Source organism: Homo sapiens, chromosome 12 (assembly GCF_000001405.40).
Source record: "Homo sapiens chromosome 12, GRCh38.p14 Primary Assembly".
Taxonomy (NCBI): Eukaryota; Metazoa; Chordata; class Mammalia; order Primates; family Hominidae; genus Homo; species Homo sapiens.
The window spans coordinates 119,083,588-119,104,107 of NC_000012.12; the positions used below are offsets into that span (position 1 = coordinate 119,083,588).

Consider the following 20,520-nt stretch of genomic DNA (forward strand, 5'->3'; position numbering starts at 1 on the left):
TGTCCTTACCAGAGCATCCTAGGATCATGTCACAAATAAATTACTTGCCCCAGAATTCTTATGTCTAATGCTGCATATAAGGGAATGGTCCCATTCCCAAGATGGCCAGGGACATTTGCTGGTCAGCTGGTGCTTTGGAAAATGGACTCAGAACTATTGTCCTCAGAGCTGAGCTGACAGTGCAGCTGCCCAGAACATTGCTAGGTGCCTACAGTGAGCTTGGATTTGTGCTAGAGGAGATAACAGCAGCTGGGCATCTAAATACACAGAGAAGATCCAATCAATAGGACTTGGCCATGCAGAGACACAGGGAGAAGGCATTTGAAGTGGGCAGAACAGCACAGACAAGACGTAGAATTTGGGGTTATTTTTTATGTCCTGCAAAGCATCACTGAGCTATTGCCATAAGCCATGCACATTACAAAGTGCATCACCTCATTGAATCCTCACTACGGCCCTACACAGCAAGCGCTATTACACTTCCCATTTTACAGGTGCAGGAACTGAGGCAAAGAGAGGGAAATTCATTTGCCTGAGATCACATAGCAAGTCTGTGGCACAGCTGGAATTTGAACCCAGCCCTCTGAGATCACAGTCTGACTGCTGTAGAAGGTGAATATTGGAGGAGAGGAGAGGGAAGAGAGCAGGGGAAGAGAACTCCTGAACACCAAACAGAGGGATTCTATTGTCCTCTGCACCCTGGAACTGAGGAGCTACCTCTTCTGGAAGGTGAGAGGGGAAGGCAGGCAAACAACTGGACATCACAGCAGGATATGAGGACTAGAGTCATGCACTATTTCTGTGTGCAGCATCCTCTGCGGAAACCCATCTGCCCTTCAGTACCTGCCTATCTTGAAGAAATATGTATTACATATCCCAGTGTACTGAGATTCAGGAATTGCCTCCAGTGGACTATTTGTAGCTACACTGATAGTGAGATACACTGCCATCTGCTGCCTGCCCCCTTAGTTAACCTCTCCCTTGCTGGCTTGATTGGGCTATTTCTCTAGTTGGTTCTCTCATTCAACCAATGTTTACTGAAGACGGATGGAGGGCCCATCATTTTCTTAGGTGCTGAGGATAAAATGGAGCAGAAGTCTCAGGCTATGCCTCAAAATTCTCATAGTCCGGTGGGGCAAAATAGAGAATTGCAATGGAGGGGGATTGTGCACACAAAGAAGGGACACAACAGGCTGAATAGTCAGGGGAGGCTTCCTGAAAGAGGTGACATCTGAATTGAAATCTGAAAAATGGGCAGGAGATGATCAAGTTGAAGGAGGCAAGGTGAATGATGCCAGTTTTTAAAAATATTTATTTCTTTATTTATTTGAGACAGAGTTTTGCTCTTTGTTGCCCAGGCTGGAATGCAGTGGTGCGATCTTGGCTCACTGCAACCTTCGCCTCCTGGGTTCAAGCGATTCTCCTGTCTCAGCCTCCCGAGTAGCCGGGATTACAGCTGCCCACCACCACGCTGGGCTAATTTTTGTATTTTTAGTAGAGATGAGGTTTCACCATGTTGGCCAGGCTGGTCTCAAACTCCAGACCTCAGGTGGATCCACCTGCCTTGGCCTCCCAAAGTGCTGGGATTACAGGCGTGAGCCACTGAGGCTGGCCAATGCCATTTTTTAATTAGCAAACACAGAGCACTTACTATTTCAGGCACTATTCCAACAGCTTTACATATTTTCACCATTAATCCTTGCAATAACCCTGTGAGGTAGGTGCTATTATTACCCTCATCTTACATACGATGACCTGAAGCCCTGAAAGGTAGTCAATTGCTCAAGGTCACAGAGTGGCAGCACTGGGGTTTGAACCCAGCAGTCTGGCTCCAGGCCATGCCCTTGAGTTTCATGTTCTGCTGCATCTAGCAGAAAGAACAAAGACAGCCAAGATGCTGGGACTTTTCAGAGTACTGCAAGGCCTTCAGATGGTTTGAGCATGGTGAGTGAGAAGCAGCTGAGAATGACAAACCTAGAGAAGTAGGTGACGCCAGAAATTGAAGACGCATGAGAGCCATGTTGAGAAGTTTGGACCTGCTTTTGGGGGCTCTGCACAAGAGAATAACATGATCCAATCTGCATTTTGGAAAAACAGCTTTGTCTCCTGCATGGACATCAGGCTGGCCAGGGTCAGGGTGAAAGCTAAAAGCTGCTCTGGAGGCTGCTGCAGTTGTCTGGGTGAGAGACGGTGGTGGCTTGGACCAGGAGGTGGCAATGGAGATGGAGGCTGAGATGCTTTGGAGTCAGAATGGGCAAGAAAGTGAGAGAAAGAGGATGGAGGGTGGTGGCCAGGCTGCTGCTTGGATGAGTAGGAAGCCGGTAGAGCTAGAGGACACTTTGTAAGGCAGGTAACACGTTGACGTTTGGTCACATTAAGTTTGAGGTGCCTGTGGGACTTTCATGTGGAGAGGTAGAAAGAACACTCAAGCCTCTTTAGGAAAAAGAGATGACCAGGAAGGCCAAACACCTAGGCACTTATTGTTAACATCCTTTTTGTTCCCCAAAGCATCCCAGTTTGAACAATGGATTACAGGGCCACCCTCAACGTAACTAACCTGCCTGTATGGCACATCTGGATATTGAAAACATCTGGGTCCAGGCTCCACGTCCCTCATACACACACACAAAAGGATACACCCTATATACTTATTTGGATATTCTTAGTTGGGCGCAAGTAAAAATATGGCTATGAATATGCAGTTCCTAGAGAGGCAGTTTCATTGTGGCTGAGAGATGTCTGATCCATCTAAAGTGCTTTGCTTCCATCCTGTTCCCAACCCTTGTCTCAGCCACAGGTCCCACCACCAGGGGCTGAGAAATATTTGTACAGGGAAACAAGACTCTGTCTTCACCCCACCAGCCAAATAGGTAACTGGTGGAACCAAGCCATAGCCATGAATTTTTCTGAATGTTATGGCCTCTTCTACTCAAACTATACTCTAGAGCAACCAGAGTGGTTGATGTTTTGCTCCCTGAAAAGGAGGATGCCATAGTGTACATTCACAGAGGCAAGTGCAGTCTGGGCTTATGCAGAAGGATGCAGCAGGGCCCCTTCATGGGGAAGAGGGAGTGGGCTGGTGCACAGCTTTCTGGTTGTGTGTTTCTTATCTGTATCAGCCATATAGATCAAAATAGCTGTAGGAAGAAGCCAGAGCTTTGGCTAGATGGTTGATCCCTAAGGGCAACGAATACCCCCAGAGTTTTGAGCCTAGAAAAGATCCCTCTCAAAGTCCTTGCCACCGATTTCTTTTGAAGGATCTCACTCAGCAGTGTCCATTGTGACTGAAGTCTGGAGGTAGAGTTCCAAACCCCAACTCTAAACACCAATCTCACAGCTGTAGAAGGATACAAAGCTTTCTTGCCCCATTATGTGTTGCTCTCAGATGCCCAAGGTGGGAGGCAGTGCTGGGGCTGGAGGATCTACGCGTGGTTCCCATGGTGTCCACCCCAAGAGGTGTACTATGGTGAAAGGGTTAAAACCATGGACTCTGGAGTCAGATCGTCTGGGTTCAAATTCCTTCTCTACCACCTTTTAATGGGATCTCCTATGACCTCAGTTTCTTCATTGGTAAAACAGGATTGATCATTGTACCAGCCTCTAATAATTGCCATGAGAATGACAAGATCAAACACATGCAAAGCACTTAGAACAGTACCCAGCACATAGCTGGTGCTCCACGAATATCCACTGTAACTAGTGGGAATAACAGCATTGACAATGGTGCTGTCAGTCATAAAATCCAACCATAGAGATAGAGGCAGGTGAAAGAAGCCAGGAGAAGGAACAAGGAGGAAAAAGGAGTGGAAACAGGGCCTTTTGCCTGCCAGGGCCTGGCTCAGAAGCTCCCAGAGGTCCATGTAATGACATTTCATTCGGACTTTTTTTTATTGGAATGAGAAATGAAAGTTCTGTGTCAGAAATCATTGCAAATTCCAAATTAGTGAGGTTTCATGGTCCCCAGAAACGCGCTGGAGGGAATATTGGTCGATGGGGTGTTTTTTTAGCTGTCGGAGGAAGCTGGCTGATTGACTGAGTGTCTCAGTCTATAGACTGTGCAGACAGCAGCCTGGGAACTGGGCATAGGAGAGGAAATAGGGAGAAGATGGAATAGCAGTCAGCATGGGGGATGCAGAGACATGATCCGCAGTGGAAAGAGACATAATTATACCAAAAACTGTGTAGACACAGGTCTGTCTGGAGTGGGGCCCATGCTCAGTCTGGAGACCAGGCACACGCAGCCACCTTTCCTTGAGAACACTGGGCTCCCTCACTTGCTCACTGCGTGTCCTCAGGCAAGCCACTGCACCTCTCTGAGCCTGTTTTCTCATCTAAAAACGACTCTTACAATACCCACCTCAAGAGTTTACTATGGGACTTAAATGAAATGATGGGTTTTAATTGTCTGATGAGGTGCTTAGTACATACTAGGTCCTCAATAAATGTGAGGTCCCTTTACTCTGACACAATGAGCTGGGGAAGTTGGTAGGCCCATGCTTCAGCCTTTGAACATAATTGCTGTGTTGGGAGATGACAGCTCTCATCCTTAAATTGGGGGATTATGGGCCACATTGGTAGGTTCTGGGCCCTACTGTGCTGCCCCACAATACTCAGAAGGAGATAAAATGATGGGGATGACTTCCATCCAGAGAAGAATCTGACTTACAAAAGTCCTGGAATTGGACAGCTTCATCAGAGGTCACTGGGGCCAGTCCCCTGACTTCAGGTTCCGCAAAGGATTCCAGGCAAATTAAAAGTCATGCACCCCCCTCAACGGTGATTGGGAAAGAATAATCCACAGGGCTCCTCACCAAGCAGAAATTATTTCTTATATTGAAGTTACTGAGCCTCCTTCAATAATAATTGCAATGATAATTATAATAATAAAACATTGTGCTTAGTTTAATGTATATTTCCCATAGCTACTGCAATACGTAAGGTATTATCATCCTCATCTTTAAAATGAGAAAACCGAGGCTTAAATAGTTGAAGGACTTTGCCCAAGGCCACCAGTGATGTCTTGGAGGGATTCACAAAGAGATGCTGGAACACAGTGCAGTAAAGAATTGATTCCTTTTGGGGGGCGTGGGGGTGGGTAATAAGTGGGGGGCCACAAAAGGAGGTTGGGATAGTTAAGCTGAGATATGAAGGATGAGTGAGGCTTCTCCTGACAGACAAGGGTAGAGAAGGCACTCTGGGCAGAGGGATCAGCTTGAACAAAGCCAGAGAGGTTGGAAGACTAGGTCCCAAAGGCTATTTACAATGAATAATTACAATTACAGTGACAGCTAACATTGATTAAGTGCTTACTCTGCACAAGGAATGGTGTTAAGCACTTTGCGTGCATCATCTCCAGGAGCTGGACACTATCGTTATCCCAGTTTTGCAGAAGAGAGATGAAGTGACTCGCCCGGGATCACAGCTTGAAAATGGCAGGATCAGCTTTTCAGCTCGAGTCTGCCTGATTCCCAAGCCCCCGGTGTCTCCTGGTTGTTCAGTCCCTGCCCCTCATCAACAGAGAAGCCATGCAGTTTAAAGAGAGCCCATATGAGAGCCCATCTTAGCATAGACCCTCTGCCCATGTGGTCGGGAGGGTGCTGTGCCAAGATGACCTAGTCTGTTTTTGCCGAAACCCACCGCACCACCCCAAGTCCTTTTGGAGCCACGGGGAACCCACCAATTGGTAGGAGATAATCATGAAGCTGACTGCCTAATAAAGATAAAGCTCTCTAATAAACCCACAATCCTGAGGTAATGGGTTTGACTTTTAAAAGGCAGATAAAAGTCCCAACGGAAGGACAGACATTTCCTATCAACTCCTTATTCAGAATCACTGTGGAGGAGGCATTTCCTACAGGTGGGAACAGCTGGATGCCTGGGTTGGCATTGAGAAATGGCCACTTTTGCATAAAGCCAGACATCTCCTCTCTCCAGAGCTCCCTCTCTCCCATGGAGAATCCTTTGTCAGAGAAGAATGATAATGACAAAGGATGGAGCCTACGGAATAAGCCTAAAGGAGGTTGAATGGAAAGGGTGGATTTGAGAGCTTGCTGATGATTGGTGCTGGAGCTGCAGAGTTGGAGTCTTCTGAGAACTCTGTGCTGATTGGTGGAGTTGGTATAGACCACCCTCTCTATTCATCCTGCCATCATCCTCAATATCATCATCATCATCATCATCCTCACCATTATTACCATGACTATCATCATCAGTAACATTATCACCATCATCACCATCACCATCATCATCATCAAACATATATTGAACATTTATTAGGCAACAGGGAAATATGCATTTTATAACTGCCTTATGAAGCAGGTAATATTAACATCTCTGATAACATTTCCCATTCTCAGATGGGAAAACTAAGTCTTGATAATATTAAAGAACTTCCTGTGGGTCACACAGCCAGGAAGCAGCAAAGCAGATTCAAACCCAGGTCTATTTGACTCCAGTTAATACAATCCAGTTTCTCTGTTGACAAGGGGCAGGGACCAAATAACTAGGAGACCCTGGAAGCTTAGGAATCAGGCAGACTCGAGCTGAAATGTTGATTCTGCCATTTTCAAGCAGTGATCTTGGGGGAGTCACTTAATCTGTCTTCTGCAAGTGATGGTTAAATACTTAACCATCATTTTGCATTTAGTATTAATAGTTTGATAGAGGAAAACATGGTGTGGGTCTATGTCTTAGATGGAATTCACAAGAAAGAAAGCCTGAGATAGAGGTCTGCGTGCATGTGACTTATTGAGATAGGAGAAAGGGAGTGAGGAAGCAGGATAGGACAGGGGAAGAAAGCTAAGAAAAGATATAGTTTCAACTGGACTCAAGCCTCAGCCTGATCCTAAGGGGAGCTCTGGAATGTGGATTCCACCATAGAATTGGTCTGACCTTGAGGCAAGGGGGCAGGTCTTTTGTACTCCTATGTCAGCTAGTCATTGGCTATGGGCCTCCCTCCCCACATCCCACCAGGAGTGGGCAAAATCTTCTGGAAGGGGCATCCCTGAGGCATTTGCAGCCAACATTCCCACCTATCTGGAAAGAGATCTAGGATCTGACCAACAGCATCCACTGTGCTGCAGACAAACAGAGCTGATGGTCCTTTCTTAGCCCCTAACTCACCAAGTGTCCCTGAGTGTAGCACTCGCCCCTACTGGACCTCAGTTTCTCCAGGCTTGGACTCAATGCTCCCCAAAGGCTGGCCCAGCTCTGACAAGTTCTCACTCTGATCTGGCAACAATGCAACTGACCAAGCTGGCAATCTCAGTTTCTGTAACCCAGGAGGAGAGACAAGGAGACCCCTCTGGTGGCCCCAAAAGTGTGAAGCAAGGTGTCTGACAGCTTCTCCCACTGAAGCCCTTTATCTCACTTCTTGCTGTGTTATTTTAAAACTAACAAGCCCAGACCGCAGGAGCTCACAGCCTGCCATGGAGATTTGTGGCTTGTCTGGTCTGTCCTCTCTGCAGATTTCAGCAGCGGCTTACTGTCTGCTTGTTAGGAATTTTCTCCCAAGCCTCAGCCTCTGGCACGAGTGTGTGTGTGTCTGCAGAGCAGAAAGTCCTAACTGAGCCATCCTCTCAGAAGCCCCCTGTCTGCAGTTCTAGCTGATGACAGGATCCTGTGAGTGACCCTGCAGTGGAGGGAGAGACAAATTTATCCCTGGACTGTAGAGAGAGAAGCCTGAACTCAGCAGGAATTGGGTTTCTGTAGCATTTCTAGGTTCCAGGATCATTTCTAGGTTCTGAAGTAGCCACTCAGCTTGGTGGTAGGAAGCCAAGGCCTCAGTGTAGGGGGATCTCCTGGGACCCTCAAGAGCACTTCAACCTCCCATCCCTCTCCTTCCCAGGATCCCTTGCCTTGGCTGTTTGAGGAAAGGTAGTCAGAGTCACAGTGAGTGGGTCTCCAGAGGCAATCTTTGCAAGTGAGGCTGGAGACCAGTGTCGTCTGTTCCTGGAAAATGTGGCTGATATTCAAAGTACCACCATGTGCCAGATACTAAGTGCTGGACATGCATCATCTCATTTCATTCTTGCAGCAACCTTGTAAAGTGATTGCAATTTGCGGTTTCACCAGGGAGGTGAAAGGACTTGCCCAAGGTCACCCAGCTGGTGAGTGGTCAGGCAGAGTCTATCCGATGGGTCTACTCACTATGCACTCCCAACTCTCCCTGGTTAGTAACTCTGTCCCCTCTGTGCAGCTTGCCTTGTATCCTCTGAGCACACATGCCTTTCCCCAGTCAGGATGTCTCCTTTCTCAGCCACTTCCACCCCATACCCCTATATGAGAGTTTCTAATGTACCTGCTGCATCCCTTCCTCTGGACTGTGCACTTGAGGGAGAGGCTTATGTTTGGATCATCTTGAAACAACCCTCCTCAGGAGTAAAATGATGCTTAGCAGATGAATGAGTGAATGAATAGCTGAGGAATGACTGGATGAATAAACGCACAAACAATAAATGAATCACTGTGTCTAAATGAATAACTTGGAGCTGTCAGTCACTTTATATTTTAAAAGCCAGTCCACCAGGCTGGGGCACTTCTATTGAGCCATCTTCTTATTTAAAACCCCACTGGTAGAATGCCACTGGAGCTTACCTCCCTCCTCAACTTTCACCCTTAATCTAGTTAGTTACTAGCCTGGTGTTCGTTCCATCTTACTCCCAGAAGATCCAGTCTCCTGGCTTTAAACACTGTCCAAATGCTATCATCTCTCAAACGCATTTCCCTAGCTCTGATCTCTTCTCTGAACTCCAGGCTCATGTACCCACTTGCCCACTTGCCATCTCAACATAGATGTCTAACTGACATCTCAAAATCTAACTGGCATCTCAAAAACTGAGCTTTAGAAGACTCTTCCAAAACATGCTTCCCCATCTCAGTTGTTCCAGCTCAGTGATTGGCAGCAAGAGCCTCCCAGTTGCTCAGACCTAAAACCTTGGAGTCATCCTTGGCCCCTCTCTTTCACACTCCATAGCCAATCCATGCAAAAACTCTGTTGATTCTACCTTCAATAAAAGTCCATAATCTGGCCACCTCTCATCACTACTGCAGAAAAAACACTGACCCCAGCCACCGTCTTCTTCATATGGATTATTGTAGTCATTTCTTCACTGGTCTTCCGTATCTATTCCAGATCCCTGGCCATATAGGCTCAGCAAGATGCCAGAGGGATCCTTTAAAACCTAAGTCAGAACATATCTATCCAATGAAGCCTCCAATGGCATCTCATCTCACCGAGAGGAAAGAGCCAAGTCCCTGTGAAAGCCCACCAGATTCTTATACCTGATCCCTCATTACCTCTCTGACTTTACCTCCTACTAATCTCCCCTTTGCTCCCTCAGCTCCAGCCACACTGCTAATTCTTCACTGCATTCCATATGTTCCTGCCTCAGGGCCTTTGCACTGGCTCCACTCTGCCTGTTATGTTCTCCTGGGCATGCTCAAGGCTCACTCCCTCATCACTTTCAAGTCTTTGCTCAAATCTCACCTTCTCAATGAGGGCTTCTCTGATTACCCAGTTTAAAATTGCAAGCCCCTCGCAGTAGTATTCCATCTCCCCCCTAGCACTTATTACCTTCTAATATTTACCACTTAATTATGTTTATTTTCTGCTCTCTTCCTACCTCCACCCATTGCAGTACAATGTGAGCTCCACCAAGCAAGGTTTTTTTCTCTATCTTGTTCCCAGTGCCTGCACATAATAGATGCTCAATAAATATTTGTTGAATGAAGAATAAGTGAACGGTCCTTGGAAGCACCTCTTGGGAGCAGTTTACACTCTCCTAGATCTTGTACCAAGGATCCTCCTTTCCTGGGTTGGGGGTTTCCTCTTAAGCTTAGGGCTTCTTTCCACTTCCCAGTTCCCTCTTGTTTGCTTAGTCTTTCTTCTAATAGTGGCTGTGATGGTCCCCAAAAGGGACTCACTTGTCCTGTCCCTCCCATGGCAAGAAAACATAATTAGCAACTCGCCCTCCCCGGAGAAATCCTAACTGTGTCTGCAATTCCAGCTGATCCCCAGGGGACCCTGGGCTGGAAGGAGAGATGATATTCTTGCCCATGGTGACACAACTTAGCAGAATCAGGACTTGAACCCAGGTCAGCAGGACTCCAGGTCCCATGCATTTTTCCCAGCATCACCTAATTACCTTTTGAACACCCTGCTCAAGTGGAAAACTATGACATTTTGGAATTCAGTCCCTTCCCTAGTTGGAGGCAGCCTGCATTTTAGGCAGTCTCAACAATCGAATCCAATCCACTTCTCAGCAGTTTTATCTCTCATGAAGCAAATAGGCAATTGATAGGCCAGCCTGTGGAGGGAGAAATGACTGGGTGGATGTGGGGTTGATTGGAGGGCAGTGGATGGATGTGTTCTGTGATGAGTTCAAAACCCGGTCAGGTTGGGTGCCTGACCTGCTTGGCTGAGTTGGGCAAGAAATGCTGAGCTGATTTTTCTCCACATGATTCTTTTGTCCTTTGACCTGAACTTGAGAACCAAGCAATTATTGATATATAAGAGTGTTTACCACACACTCATAAGCACACACACTCACACACATCCACACTCTTACACACTTGCTCTCAGCCCTGACAACTGGACTAAGCCATTCTCATCCATCGCCTGTGGAGAGGGAGTGGTGGGGAGCTGTGCTTGTCTATGTTGCTCATCCCTCAGGATCAAGTTCAAACTCCTTGTAGAATCTACAACATGGCTACTCAGAGTGTAGTTCCTGGAGCAACAGCCTCACCTGGGAATTGGTTAGAAATGCAGAAACTCAGGCCCTCCCCCAGACCTACTGAAGAATCAGCATCTGCAGTCTGACAAGATCCCCAGGTGACCCATGCACATGAAGGCTTGAAAAGCACCTGTCTACATGGCCCTGAAGAATCCAGCCCCTTTCTTCCTTCCTAGACTCAAGTCTTGCCTGCCACCCTCCACCTTCACTGTCTGTTCTAACTTACTGCATCCCCTGCAGTCACACGAAGGTCCACTGCTTTGTCTTGGTGCTGGACCTTTGCACTTGCTCTTCCTCCTTTTTGTTCCACTTTCCTGACCAATTTCTATTCATCTGCTAGAAACACATTCCGTGACCACCTGCCCACATTCCCCAGGAGGGGTTAGGTGCCCTCTCTGTGGGTCCACTGCCCCCGTAAGCCTCTCTCTATCAGAGAACTTCTTATATACCATATTGCAATTCCCGGTTTAGGGATCTGTCTCCCCTTCCAGGGTGAGAAGTCCTGCAGGGCAGAAACAATGTCTTGGTTACTTTTGGGTCTTTGAAATCTGATACTAAGTAGGTGTTCAGTAAACAACTGTTGAGTAATGAATGAAATAATGAGAGAAATGACAGCCTCATAAAACTTCCTTTCATTTTTTATTCAATTTCTACTAAAATGAACATTACTGCCCCTATATCCAAACGATGTCTCCCACAGCAGTGCTGTGCAATCCCCAGTTTTCCTCTAAGCTCTATTGCTTTTTCAAGCCACAATGGCAAAGCTCAAAGGGTCACAGCTCCTGAAGATTACCCCCATCCAGGCTTAATGAACTGGATTCACCTTGAAAACGAGTCGGAATGCCAAGACCTCAGGCCAGGACATTATTAACACAGCCCAGACTGAGGTCCCAGGAGCCAAGGCACAAATTGGCCAACTTCATCTTGTCTCTGGGCTAGGTCAGCCCCATGATAACTCTTGGGCTTTCTGAAGAGCATTTAAGCATGAGAGTCTAGGCCTACATTCTCTATTGAAACAGGCAGAGTGTGGGTGTCTGGCAAGTGTGGGAAAAAGGATGGACCTTTCACAGCCCTGGATGCACGGGTAGAACAAGTACCTGGGCCATGATCTCTGGAAGGAAGCAAGTACTTTTGCCTCTCCAGGTTTCAGTGCCTTCAGCTATGCAAGGGAAGGAGGTTCACCATGCTGCTGCTGCACACCCCACAGAGAGTTATAGGAATCAATTGAGACACTGGATTAGTAAGTCCTCTATACACAGAAGGAGCTATTTGTGGAATGGAGGCAATAAATGTCAGCGATGTCTCCAATCTCCTGGCCAACTGCCATTTCTGTTTGTGGAATATAAGATTCAGGCCAAACCTTGAGATACAGAGCCTCTCCAAACACATAAGACCAGTCCTATCTTACAACGTAATTACCAAGATTCCCCCTGTACCTCCACTTATCCTTTCCTATATTTTCAAAATGTTTTCTACTAAAAATACAGAAATTAGCCAAGCGTGGTGGCAGGTGCCTGTAATCCCAGCTACTCAGGAAGCTGAAGCAGGAGAATCACTTGAACCCGGGAGGCGGATGTTGCAGTGAGCCGAGATCATGCCACTGCACTCCAGCCTGGGCGATAGATTGAGCCTCAGTCTCAAAAAAAAAAAAAAAAAAAGAAAATGTTTTCCAGAGTCTTCTCCCTTTTGTTCTCAGTTGATTTTTATTTATTTATTTTTTTATGGAGTCTTGCTCTGTGGCGCAGGCTGGAGTGCAGTGGCGCGATCTCAGCTCACTGCAAGCTCTGCCTTCCAGGTTCATGCCATTCTCCTGCCTCAGCCTCCTGAGTAGCTGGGAGTACAGGTGCCCGCCACCACGCCCAGCTAATTTTTTTTTTTTTTTTTTGTATTTTTAGCAGTGACGGGGTTTCACTGTGTTAGCCAGGATGGTCTCAATCTTCCTGACCTCGTAATCCGCCCACCTCAGCCTCCCAAAATGCTGGGATTACAGGTGTGAGCCACCACGCCCGGCCTCTCAGTTGATTCTTATAAACAAGCAGGACAGCTGCTGATGTTCTTGCCAGTTAATATCTCAGGGTCTCAGTTTGTTCTTCACAGTAGGGATGGTAATGCTGGCTCATGGGTTTCTTTGAAAACTTCAATGAGAAGATGAGTGAGAAGTGCTTAGTTAGCTCAGTGTCTGGTGTGCAGGAGGTGCTTGATAAATACTAGCTGCTGTGATGATCAAGTGATGTGGAGAGAACGCTGGGCTGGGAGTCAAAAGGTGGCAACTCTACTAGCCAGAGCTATGATATGAGTCACTATTTGCCTTGGGCAAGTCCCCTTGCCTCTTGGGCCTCCCTTTCTCCACTCTGTACAGGGCTGAGCTGGATCTGGGGTTCTTCCCGCTCCACCATTGTTGGTCTCTGATTCCCCAAACAGTGTTTAACTCAATCTAGTGCTTGGGGCATGAGGATCTGCACCCAATGCTGGGCCAAATGAGAACTTTGTTGGGAGCAGCTGGCTGATTGGCTCAGTGAGCAAGAGCTTTGATGGGAAGCAGGGAAGCAGCTAGGGAGCCAGGCCTCTTGAGGAGTTTTGCAGAAAAGTTCAGCCCTGACTCTTATCGGAGCCTTGGAATCTGCCGGTTGCCATGACTACAGAGACAGCATCTAAGCTCCAGGTCTCTGATTAGCAGGAACAGAGCCGCCGGGAGGCCTTGAGGAATTCGGCACTCGTGGCTCCCTCCCTCCATCTGTGAAGTGGAGTGTGCCGGCCCTTGACTCCACTGTTTTAGCTGTCCCCAAAGATTTCGGCTTCTTTTAAGTATTTTTTAAATGCGATATAGAAGGAAAATGAGGCAACTGCCAGTACTTCTCAGCAAAGATGGAACACAGAATTTTTCTTAAGGACCTGCAAAGATGCAAGGCTGGAGGTAGGGAAGGGAGATAGGTGGGGCTGTGGAGGGCTGAGGGCTGTGGCTGAAGCCTGATTCCACTGCAGCGTTGAGTGACCTCAGACTCTTTACTTGTACCTCTGCTTCTTTATTTGTAAGGAGAGTTAGGATCCGATCTGTGGTTCCCACATGAGATCGGTAATCACAATTCATTTGTTCATCCATCCATTTATTCATTTGTTCATTCAATGAATGTTCATTGAGCAGGAAGCTACACGACGGTTTCCTTCTTCCTCCCCTCAGCATTTCCTCTCTGCCTGGCAGAATTCATTTTATTTCTGTTGGTTTTATTGCAAAATTCCAGGTGGGATACCCAACACCAGGAAGGTGAAATAAGTGCTATTGGAGAAAAAGAAAAATCTACCACATCAGAGGGTATAAAGTTACATAAATTCCTGCAACTCCATTGTGTCTTTCCTCACCAAATCATCTTCAAGATTTCCCCATATCTGATTCCTGACCCCTGTTGCTGACAATGATGGATGAGGCACTGTCCTCAACCTAAGCCTTACACCCCAGGGCTCTGGCAGTAGCATCCACCAGCTTCCCCTGTACTTCAGATAACTCACGCCTCTACTCTCTCCATTAGACAAGTCACTGAGACTTCCCACCCAATGCCAGCACACTCACCATGTGTTTATTCAATGCTAAATTCCTCACAGTTCTCAGCTTTTGCCTATCATGGGATTGCTTGTGGTATCGATTTATTTTCTACAATGTCCCAAAGAGTTCAGAATTATATTCTTATGTGTCTCCACCTTGACATAGTAATAATGTGTGACTTGCAAGAATTGGTTACAAAGGGCAGCTTCTGCCTTGCTCTCTTGGATTGATCATTGTCGGGGAAGCCAGCCGCCATGTTGTGAGGATACTCAAGCAGCCATATGGAGAGGCCCATGTGAAGAACTAAGGCCTTCTGCCAACAGCCAGCACCAGCTTGCCAGCCATATGAGTGAGCCACCTTGGAAGTGAACTATCTTATGTGTCAAGGCTTTGCTGGACAATACACACAAATCAATAAGCTCACTGATCTTTTCTAAAAGAAATATGAGGTTGAACAGAGAAGACATGGATTGAGCAGTCTGAGTAGACTGAGGCATTGGCTGAGTTACTGACCCTTTCTAAGATTCCATTCCCACCAACTATAACATCAGGAAATTAGCCCAAAGCATCTCAAAAGCACTTTCTAACTTTTTGAAACAATGTTCTCTTTGGCCAATTTTTTACCACTTTTATTGATTCATTGAAAAAATATTGCCTGATGTTCACTAAGCAGCAGGCTCTGAGGCAGAAAGACGCAGTCTTGCTCGCAGGGAGCTCATAGTCCAATTTGATAGAAGACAATTAAATGACAACATATTATTAAGAGTTGCTGGCAAGGGAGCAAAGGCATACCACATCCTAGAAAAGGGGATAGATCTTCCCAAAAGCTTGCTCCCTACTCTACCTTCTCCATCTCCTCAATGTTGACGCCATCCTTCCAGTTGCTCAGGCTCAAAACCTTGGAGTCATCCTTGACTCCTTCTCCTGTCTTACTCTCTTACTTCTCACATTTAGCCAGCAGTAAATCATGTCAGTACTACTTTCAAAATTTCTTAGAATCAGACCACATCTTATCCCCCACTCCATTGCTACTACACTGATCGGAGCTTGGACTATTGCAACCATTTCCCCATCTCTGCCCTTTTCTCCCTTCAGCCTTGTGTCCCTCAATCACTAGAGTGATCGTTCTCAAAGGTAATCCAGTCCCTATCACTCCTGTTCCAAAGACTCTTCTCCCATCTCAGCTACAGAGAGCCCCAAAGGTCTTCCCATGACCTGATCTCTGATCTCACCTCTTGCCACTCTAGCCCTTGCTTGCTGTTCCTTATTATTATTATTATTATTACTATTGTTATAGGCAGAGGCTCATTCTGTCACACAGGCTGGAGTGCAGTGGCATGATCTCAGCTCACTGCAACCTCTGCTTCCTGGGTTCAAGCGATTCTCCTGCCTCAGCCTCCTGAGTAGCTGGGATTACAGACGTGCAACACCATACCAGCTAATTCTTTTATTTTTAGTAGAGAAAGGGTTCTGCCATATTGGCCAGGCTGGTCTCAAACTCCTGACCTCAAGTTATCCACTTGCCTCGGCCTCCCGAAGTGCTGGGATTACAGGCATGAGTGACTATGCCCGGCCGCTCTTCCTTATAATATGTTAACAATTTTTGAACTTGCTATTCCTTCTGCCTAGGGCACACTTCTCACTTCGAGCAGATACCTGTGTAGAAGCTATATATAACTGTGTAACAAATTATTCCAAATCTTTTGGCTGAAAACAACAACAAACAGTTATTATGGTTCATAGTTTCTGTGACTCAGGAATTTGGCTGAGTGGTTCTAACTCATCATCTCTCATGAAGCTGTGGTCAGATGTCAACCAGGTTTGCAGTCTCATCATAAGGCTTGACTGGAGCTGAAGAATCCTCTTCCAAGGTGGCTCACTCATAGGGCTAACAAGTTGGTGCTGACTGTTGGCAGGAGGCCTCAGTTCTTCTTCACATAGGCCTCTCCATATGGCTGCTTGAGTGTCCTCACAACATGGCTACCACCAGAATCATCAACCCAAGAGAGGAAGGCAGAAGCTACCTTTTGTGACCAAGTCTTGAAGGTCATACATTATTACTTCTACTACATTCTTTTCATTGAATGTGAGTCACTAAGCCCATCCGATATTCAAAGGGAGATAAATTAAGTTCCGTCTTTTGATCTTTTGATGACAAGAGTGTCAAAGAATCTAAGAACACATTCTAAACCACCCAAATTTTAAGATTAGTCCTGAATCCTTCAAGTCTCCACTCCCTTGTTACTTCTCAGGAAGGACTTCTCTGATTATTATATACAAAGTAGCAGCCACTCCTCCCATTTCTTAGCTCTGTATGCTGCTTTAGTCACACCAAAATTTATTACCATTCAGCTGAAAATGGTGGCTCATACCTGTAATCCCAGCACTTTGGGAGGCCAAGTCAGGAGGATTGCTTGAGCCCAGGAGTTCAAGACCAGTTTGAACAATACAGTGGGACCCTGTCTCTACAAAAAAAAAAAAAAAATCTGGGTGTGGTGGTGTGTAACTGTGGTCCCAGCTACTTGGGAGGTTGAGGTCAGAGGATCACTTGAGCCAGGGAGTTCAAGGCTGCAGTGAGCTGTGATTGTGTCACTGCACTCCATCCTGGACAACACAGTGAGACTCTGCCTCAAAAAAAAAAATGTGTTACCATTCAACAAGCCCTATTTTTACTTGCTTATGTATCTATTCCTCCATCTAGAATGTAAACATTCCGTAATCACAGGAGACATCTCCGTCTTGTTCACTGTGTCTCCACACCTGAAACTGACCTGGATACAATTTAGGCACTCAGGAAATTGAAGTTAACAAATGCAGGTTACCCTAGGCCAGGACAAGTATGGGAAGAGGCAAGCCTTGCTGGGTGTTAGGCAGAAAATAGAAGCTTTGTTGTCAGACAGCAGACAGGGCAGCATTCCTCAGAGATAAATGGGCAGAAGTAAAGACATGGAAAGGTAACCCCCATAGGAGGGAGGTTTAGGGAAAACTGAGGCTGAGCAGGATGGAAGGGAGTTCTGGAAGCACAGAGTTGGCAGTGAGAAGGGCTGAGAAGCCCTAATTAGAATCTCCAGCCCTCCAGGGCTTGCAGTATCTACCAGCTCGGCTTCTAAAGATGCACTCATAAGTGGCTGACAGAGATGGATGTGTTTTGCTGCCCTTCCTTCAATATTGACTGGGCTTGACTTGCTCTCTTAGAAGCCCTAAGGAGCAGGGGGCTTATCAGATGCATTCATCCTGAGTCATAAAACCAATCTGGATGCACTGATGCAGAAGCCTGGTGCATGAGACATGCTAATGCCTTTGATCAATACTTGACATGGGGTCTGAAGGCAGGGTGAGCAGGGAGGGATGTTCTCTGCGTGTCACCAAATACGCCTGTGACTCTCAAACTCCTGACTCTTCCTAGTTAAGAGCCAGGAACTTGGGTGACAGTCTCTTCAAAAGCTGAGTAACCAGGCAACTTCTTTGCCCTCTCAGGAACTCCCATAAAGACGTGGGACTCATAGACGACGCCTCAGTATTCTCTGCAGCCTGTGTCATTGGCAGAGTTGGGGGCTGCAGGACTGCAGGCCTTCATGGGAACTGCTGTTCCAAGTGGGTGGCTCATACCAATTAAGGACATCAGATTGGAGATTTGGTTTACAAGGAAGTAAAACCAAAGAAAACTGACTTTTGAGGCCTTTCTGCTTGTATATTTTATCTCATTTTATCTTCACAATAGCTCGGAAATACATGAATTGATACTATTCACTATTTTATAACTGAAGAAACTGCAACTCAGAGATGTTGTGACTGGACCCAGATACTATAGCTACTAAATAGTTAAGACCATTTGAATCTACATATAGGTAGTCCATACAGAAATAAGGCAGAGAAATGGAATAGAAATGGCAAAGGGGGATTTACACTAATCCTATCATGCTTTGGCCTCCCATTATGTCTTGAGAAAAGAAATGAAATGCTGGTTTCCAGCATCTCTCTGTGATCTAGTCCAAATAGAATAAGCTATGCTGCTGTGACAAATAAACCTACATCAAAGTGGTTTAACCTAATTTCAGTTATTTCTCTCTTGCAAAGTCTGATGTGGTGAAGGCATCTTTCCTTCATCAAATAGTTTCACCTTTCAGAATGCGTGGACTCTAAAGTCGCTATGACAGAGGAAGGGGGAGCTGGAAAGGTACACAGATCTTGATTGCCTTGAACTGGAAATTACATGTGTTCCCTCCTGCTTAGAGACCATTGGCCAAAGATAATCTCATGGGCTCAACCTAACTGTAAGGGAAGCTGGGAAATACTAGTAATTCTATGAATATTTAATGAACATTAAGTGTCTCTGTATATTCTAACACTTTTGTGTCCTTATTTCTTCTTCTGTAGGACAGAGCCCCAGAATAACCCCGTTGTCCCAGCTCAGGATGGACCCTCAGAAAAGCTGGGTCAGCATCTGGCCACCGAGCCCTTGGGCACCAACAGTTGGGAGAGAGACAAGACCTGTCGGGAACTGGGTGCCACCAGAGGACACAGGTGAGATCCAATGAGGACGTTCAAGTTGAAGATACAGAAATAAAGTCTGCCTCTCTGGCCATGGCTCACCCCTCTCTTATGCAAGTTCCTCTTTCAAACCCTTAAATCAAGGGTTAGTAAATATTTACCGTAGAGGAACAAATCAGAAATATTTTAAGTTTGTAGACCCAGTGGTTTCTGTCACAACTACTCAACTCAGCCATTGCAGTGCAAAAAACAGCCATAGGCATTATGCAAACAAAAAGCATATCTGTGTTCCAATAAAATTGTATTTATAAAAGCAGGAGGCAGGCTAAATTGGCCCACTGGCTGTAGTTCAGCAAGCCCTACCTTAAATGATAGCGTTCCTTTGCATTTTAGTGGCTCTATGAGCCACTGACTCCCAAATCATAGTTTCAGCCCAGACCTGTCTCAGGAGTTTCAGGTCTCTGCATGTTTTCTTTTACTCAGTTGTTTAACCAGTACTTTTTGAGCACCCACTGTGTGATGGCACTGTACTAGCACACAAATGCAGAGAGCACTGTATACACATACTCCATAAAAATACTGTATACTCAGCATTTTACTGAGGCTGGGAGAAGTAAAGTGAGTTCCCCAGAATATGACAGCCACTAAGTGGCAGAGTGAAGTTTTGAACTCCAGTCTCTCTGATCTTAAATCCTTGACTAAAACCCACTCCATTATCCTATGGATGCTACTGAAAAACAAAAAAAAAATTATCCCCTGCCTCCTGTTTTCAGCATATGCTTATAAAGTCTGGCCCATCTTTGGCCTCTGGGAAATCTATTTCTAGAAGATGTGATCACTGAATTTTAGAGAAGTGGCTTGGGAAACTGGAGTCATTTTTTTTCTTTTTAATTTTTATTTCATTATTATTTTTTAACTTTTATTTTAGGTTTGGGGCTACATGTGAATGTTTGTTGCGTAGGTAAACATGTGTCATAGGGATTTGTTGTATACATTATTTTATTACCCAAGTATCAAACCCATTACCCAATAGTTATCTTTTCTGCTCCTCTCCCTCCATCCACCCTTTCTCGTCAAGTTGTTTCCTTCTTTGTGTTCATAAATTCTTATAAGTGGGAGTTAAGTGGAGTAATTTTCAAAAATGAAGTCTACCCCACCACCTAGGCTGCCCTCTCAGCTACAGGCTTTAGTTATGCTGCAATTTCAAAGAGAGAGAAACAGTTAAGCCCTATCAACTTGGAGAACTGAAGTTCAACCTCATGTCTGGAGAGTTCTCCCAAGGAAACAGGAAGAAAGTTGTTTCCATGATAGGCAGAGGGAGATAAAGAGAGAAGTGAGAAGGAAGGGAATTTCCCTACTTTTAAAACATTGGGCCAGGCATGCTGGCTCACGCCTGTAATCCCAACACTTTGGAAGGCCGAGGTGGGAGGATCACTTGAGGTCAGGAGTTGGAGACCAGCCTGGCCAACATGGTGAAACCCTTGTCTCTGCTAAAAATACAAAAATTAGCCAGGTGTGATGGTGCACACCTGTAATCCCAGCACTCTGGAGGCTGAGGCAGAAGAATTGCTTGTACCCAGGAGGAGGAGGTTGCAGTGAGCCGAGATCGCACCACAGCGCTTCAGCCTGGGCGACAGAGTGAGACTCCGTCTCAAAATAAAAAATAAAAAATATTGTCTCCTAGATGGAATCTGAGTGTACAAATCTTGACCCTGTCACTTACGAACTGAGCAACCTTGGGCAAGTTTCTTTTCCTCC

At 46.0% G+C, this 20,520-nt stretch overlaps 1 protein-coding gene across 1 annotated transcript in view, besides 3 other annotated features; it reads left to right on the plus strand.

Annotated features, from left to right (window-relative positions):
• The window catches only part of SRRM4 (serine/arginine repetitive matrix 4), a 181,511-nt gene that overhangs the window by 102,047 nt on the left and 58,944 nt on the right, over window positions 1-20,520 (plus strand). Inside the window, exon 2 of the mRNA NM_194286.4 lies at window positions 18,649-18,795. Within this exon, the coding sequence (NP_919262.2) occupies window positions 18,649-18,795 (147 nt within the window). The remainder of the gene's footprint in view (window positions 1-18,648; window positions 18,796-20,520) is intronic.
• Window positions 5,063-5,653: an enhancer, noted in NCBI's record as "OCT4-NANOG-H3K27ac-H3K4me1 hESC enhancer chr12:119526455-119527045 (GRCh37/hg19 assembly coordinates)". NCBI's record gives its function as "activates a minimal SCP1, AML or CMV promoter by ChIP-STARR-seq in primed H9 embryonic stem cells {active_cell/tissue: H9 hESC(primed)}" and the evidence as "EXISTENCE:reporter gene assay evidence [ECO:0000049][PMID:30033119]".
• Window positions 5,654-6,243: an enhancer, noted in NCBI's record as "OCT4-NANOG-H3K27ac-H3K4me1 hESC enhancer chr12:119527046-119527635 (GRCh37/hg19 assembly coordinates)". NCBI's record gives its function as "activates a minimal SCP1, AML or CMV promoter by ChIP-STARR-seq in naive and primed H9 embryonic stem cells {active_cell/tissue: H9 hESC(naive and primed)}" and the evidence as "EXISTENCE:reporter gene assay evidence [ECO:0000049][PMID:30033119]".
• Window positions 6,520-7,174: an enhancer, noted in NCBI's record as "H3K27ac-H3K4me1 hESC enhancer chr12:119527912-119528566 (GRCh37/hg19 assembly coordinates)". NCBI's record gives its function as "activates a minimal SCP1, AML or CMV promoter by ChIP-STARR-seq in primed H9 embryonic stem cells {active_cell/tissue: H9 hESC(primed)}" and the evidence as "EXISTENCE:reporter gene assay evidence [ECO:0000049][PMID:30033119]".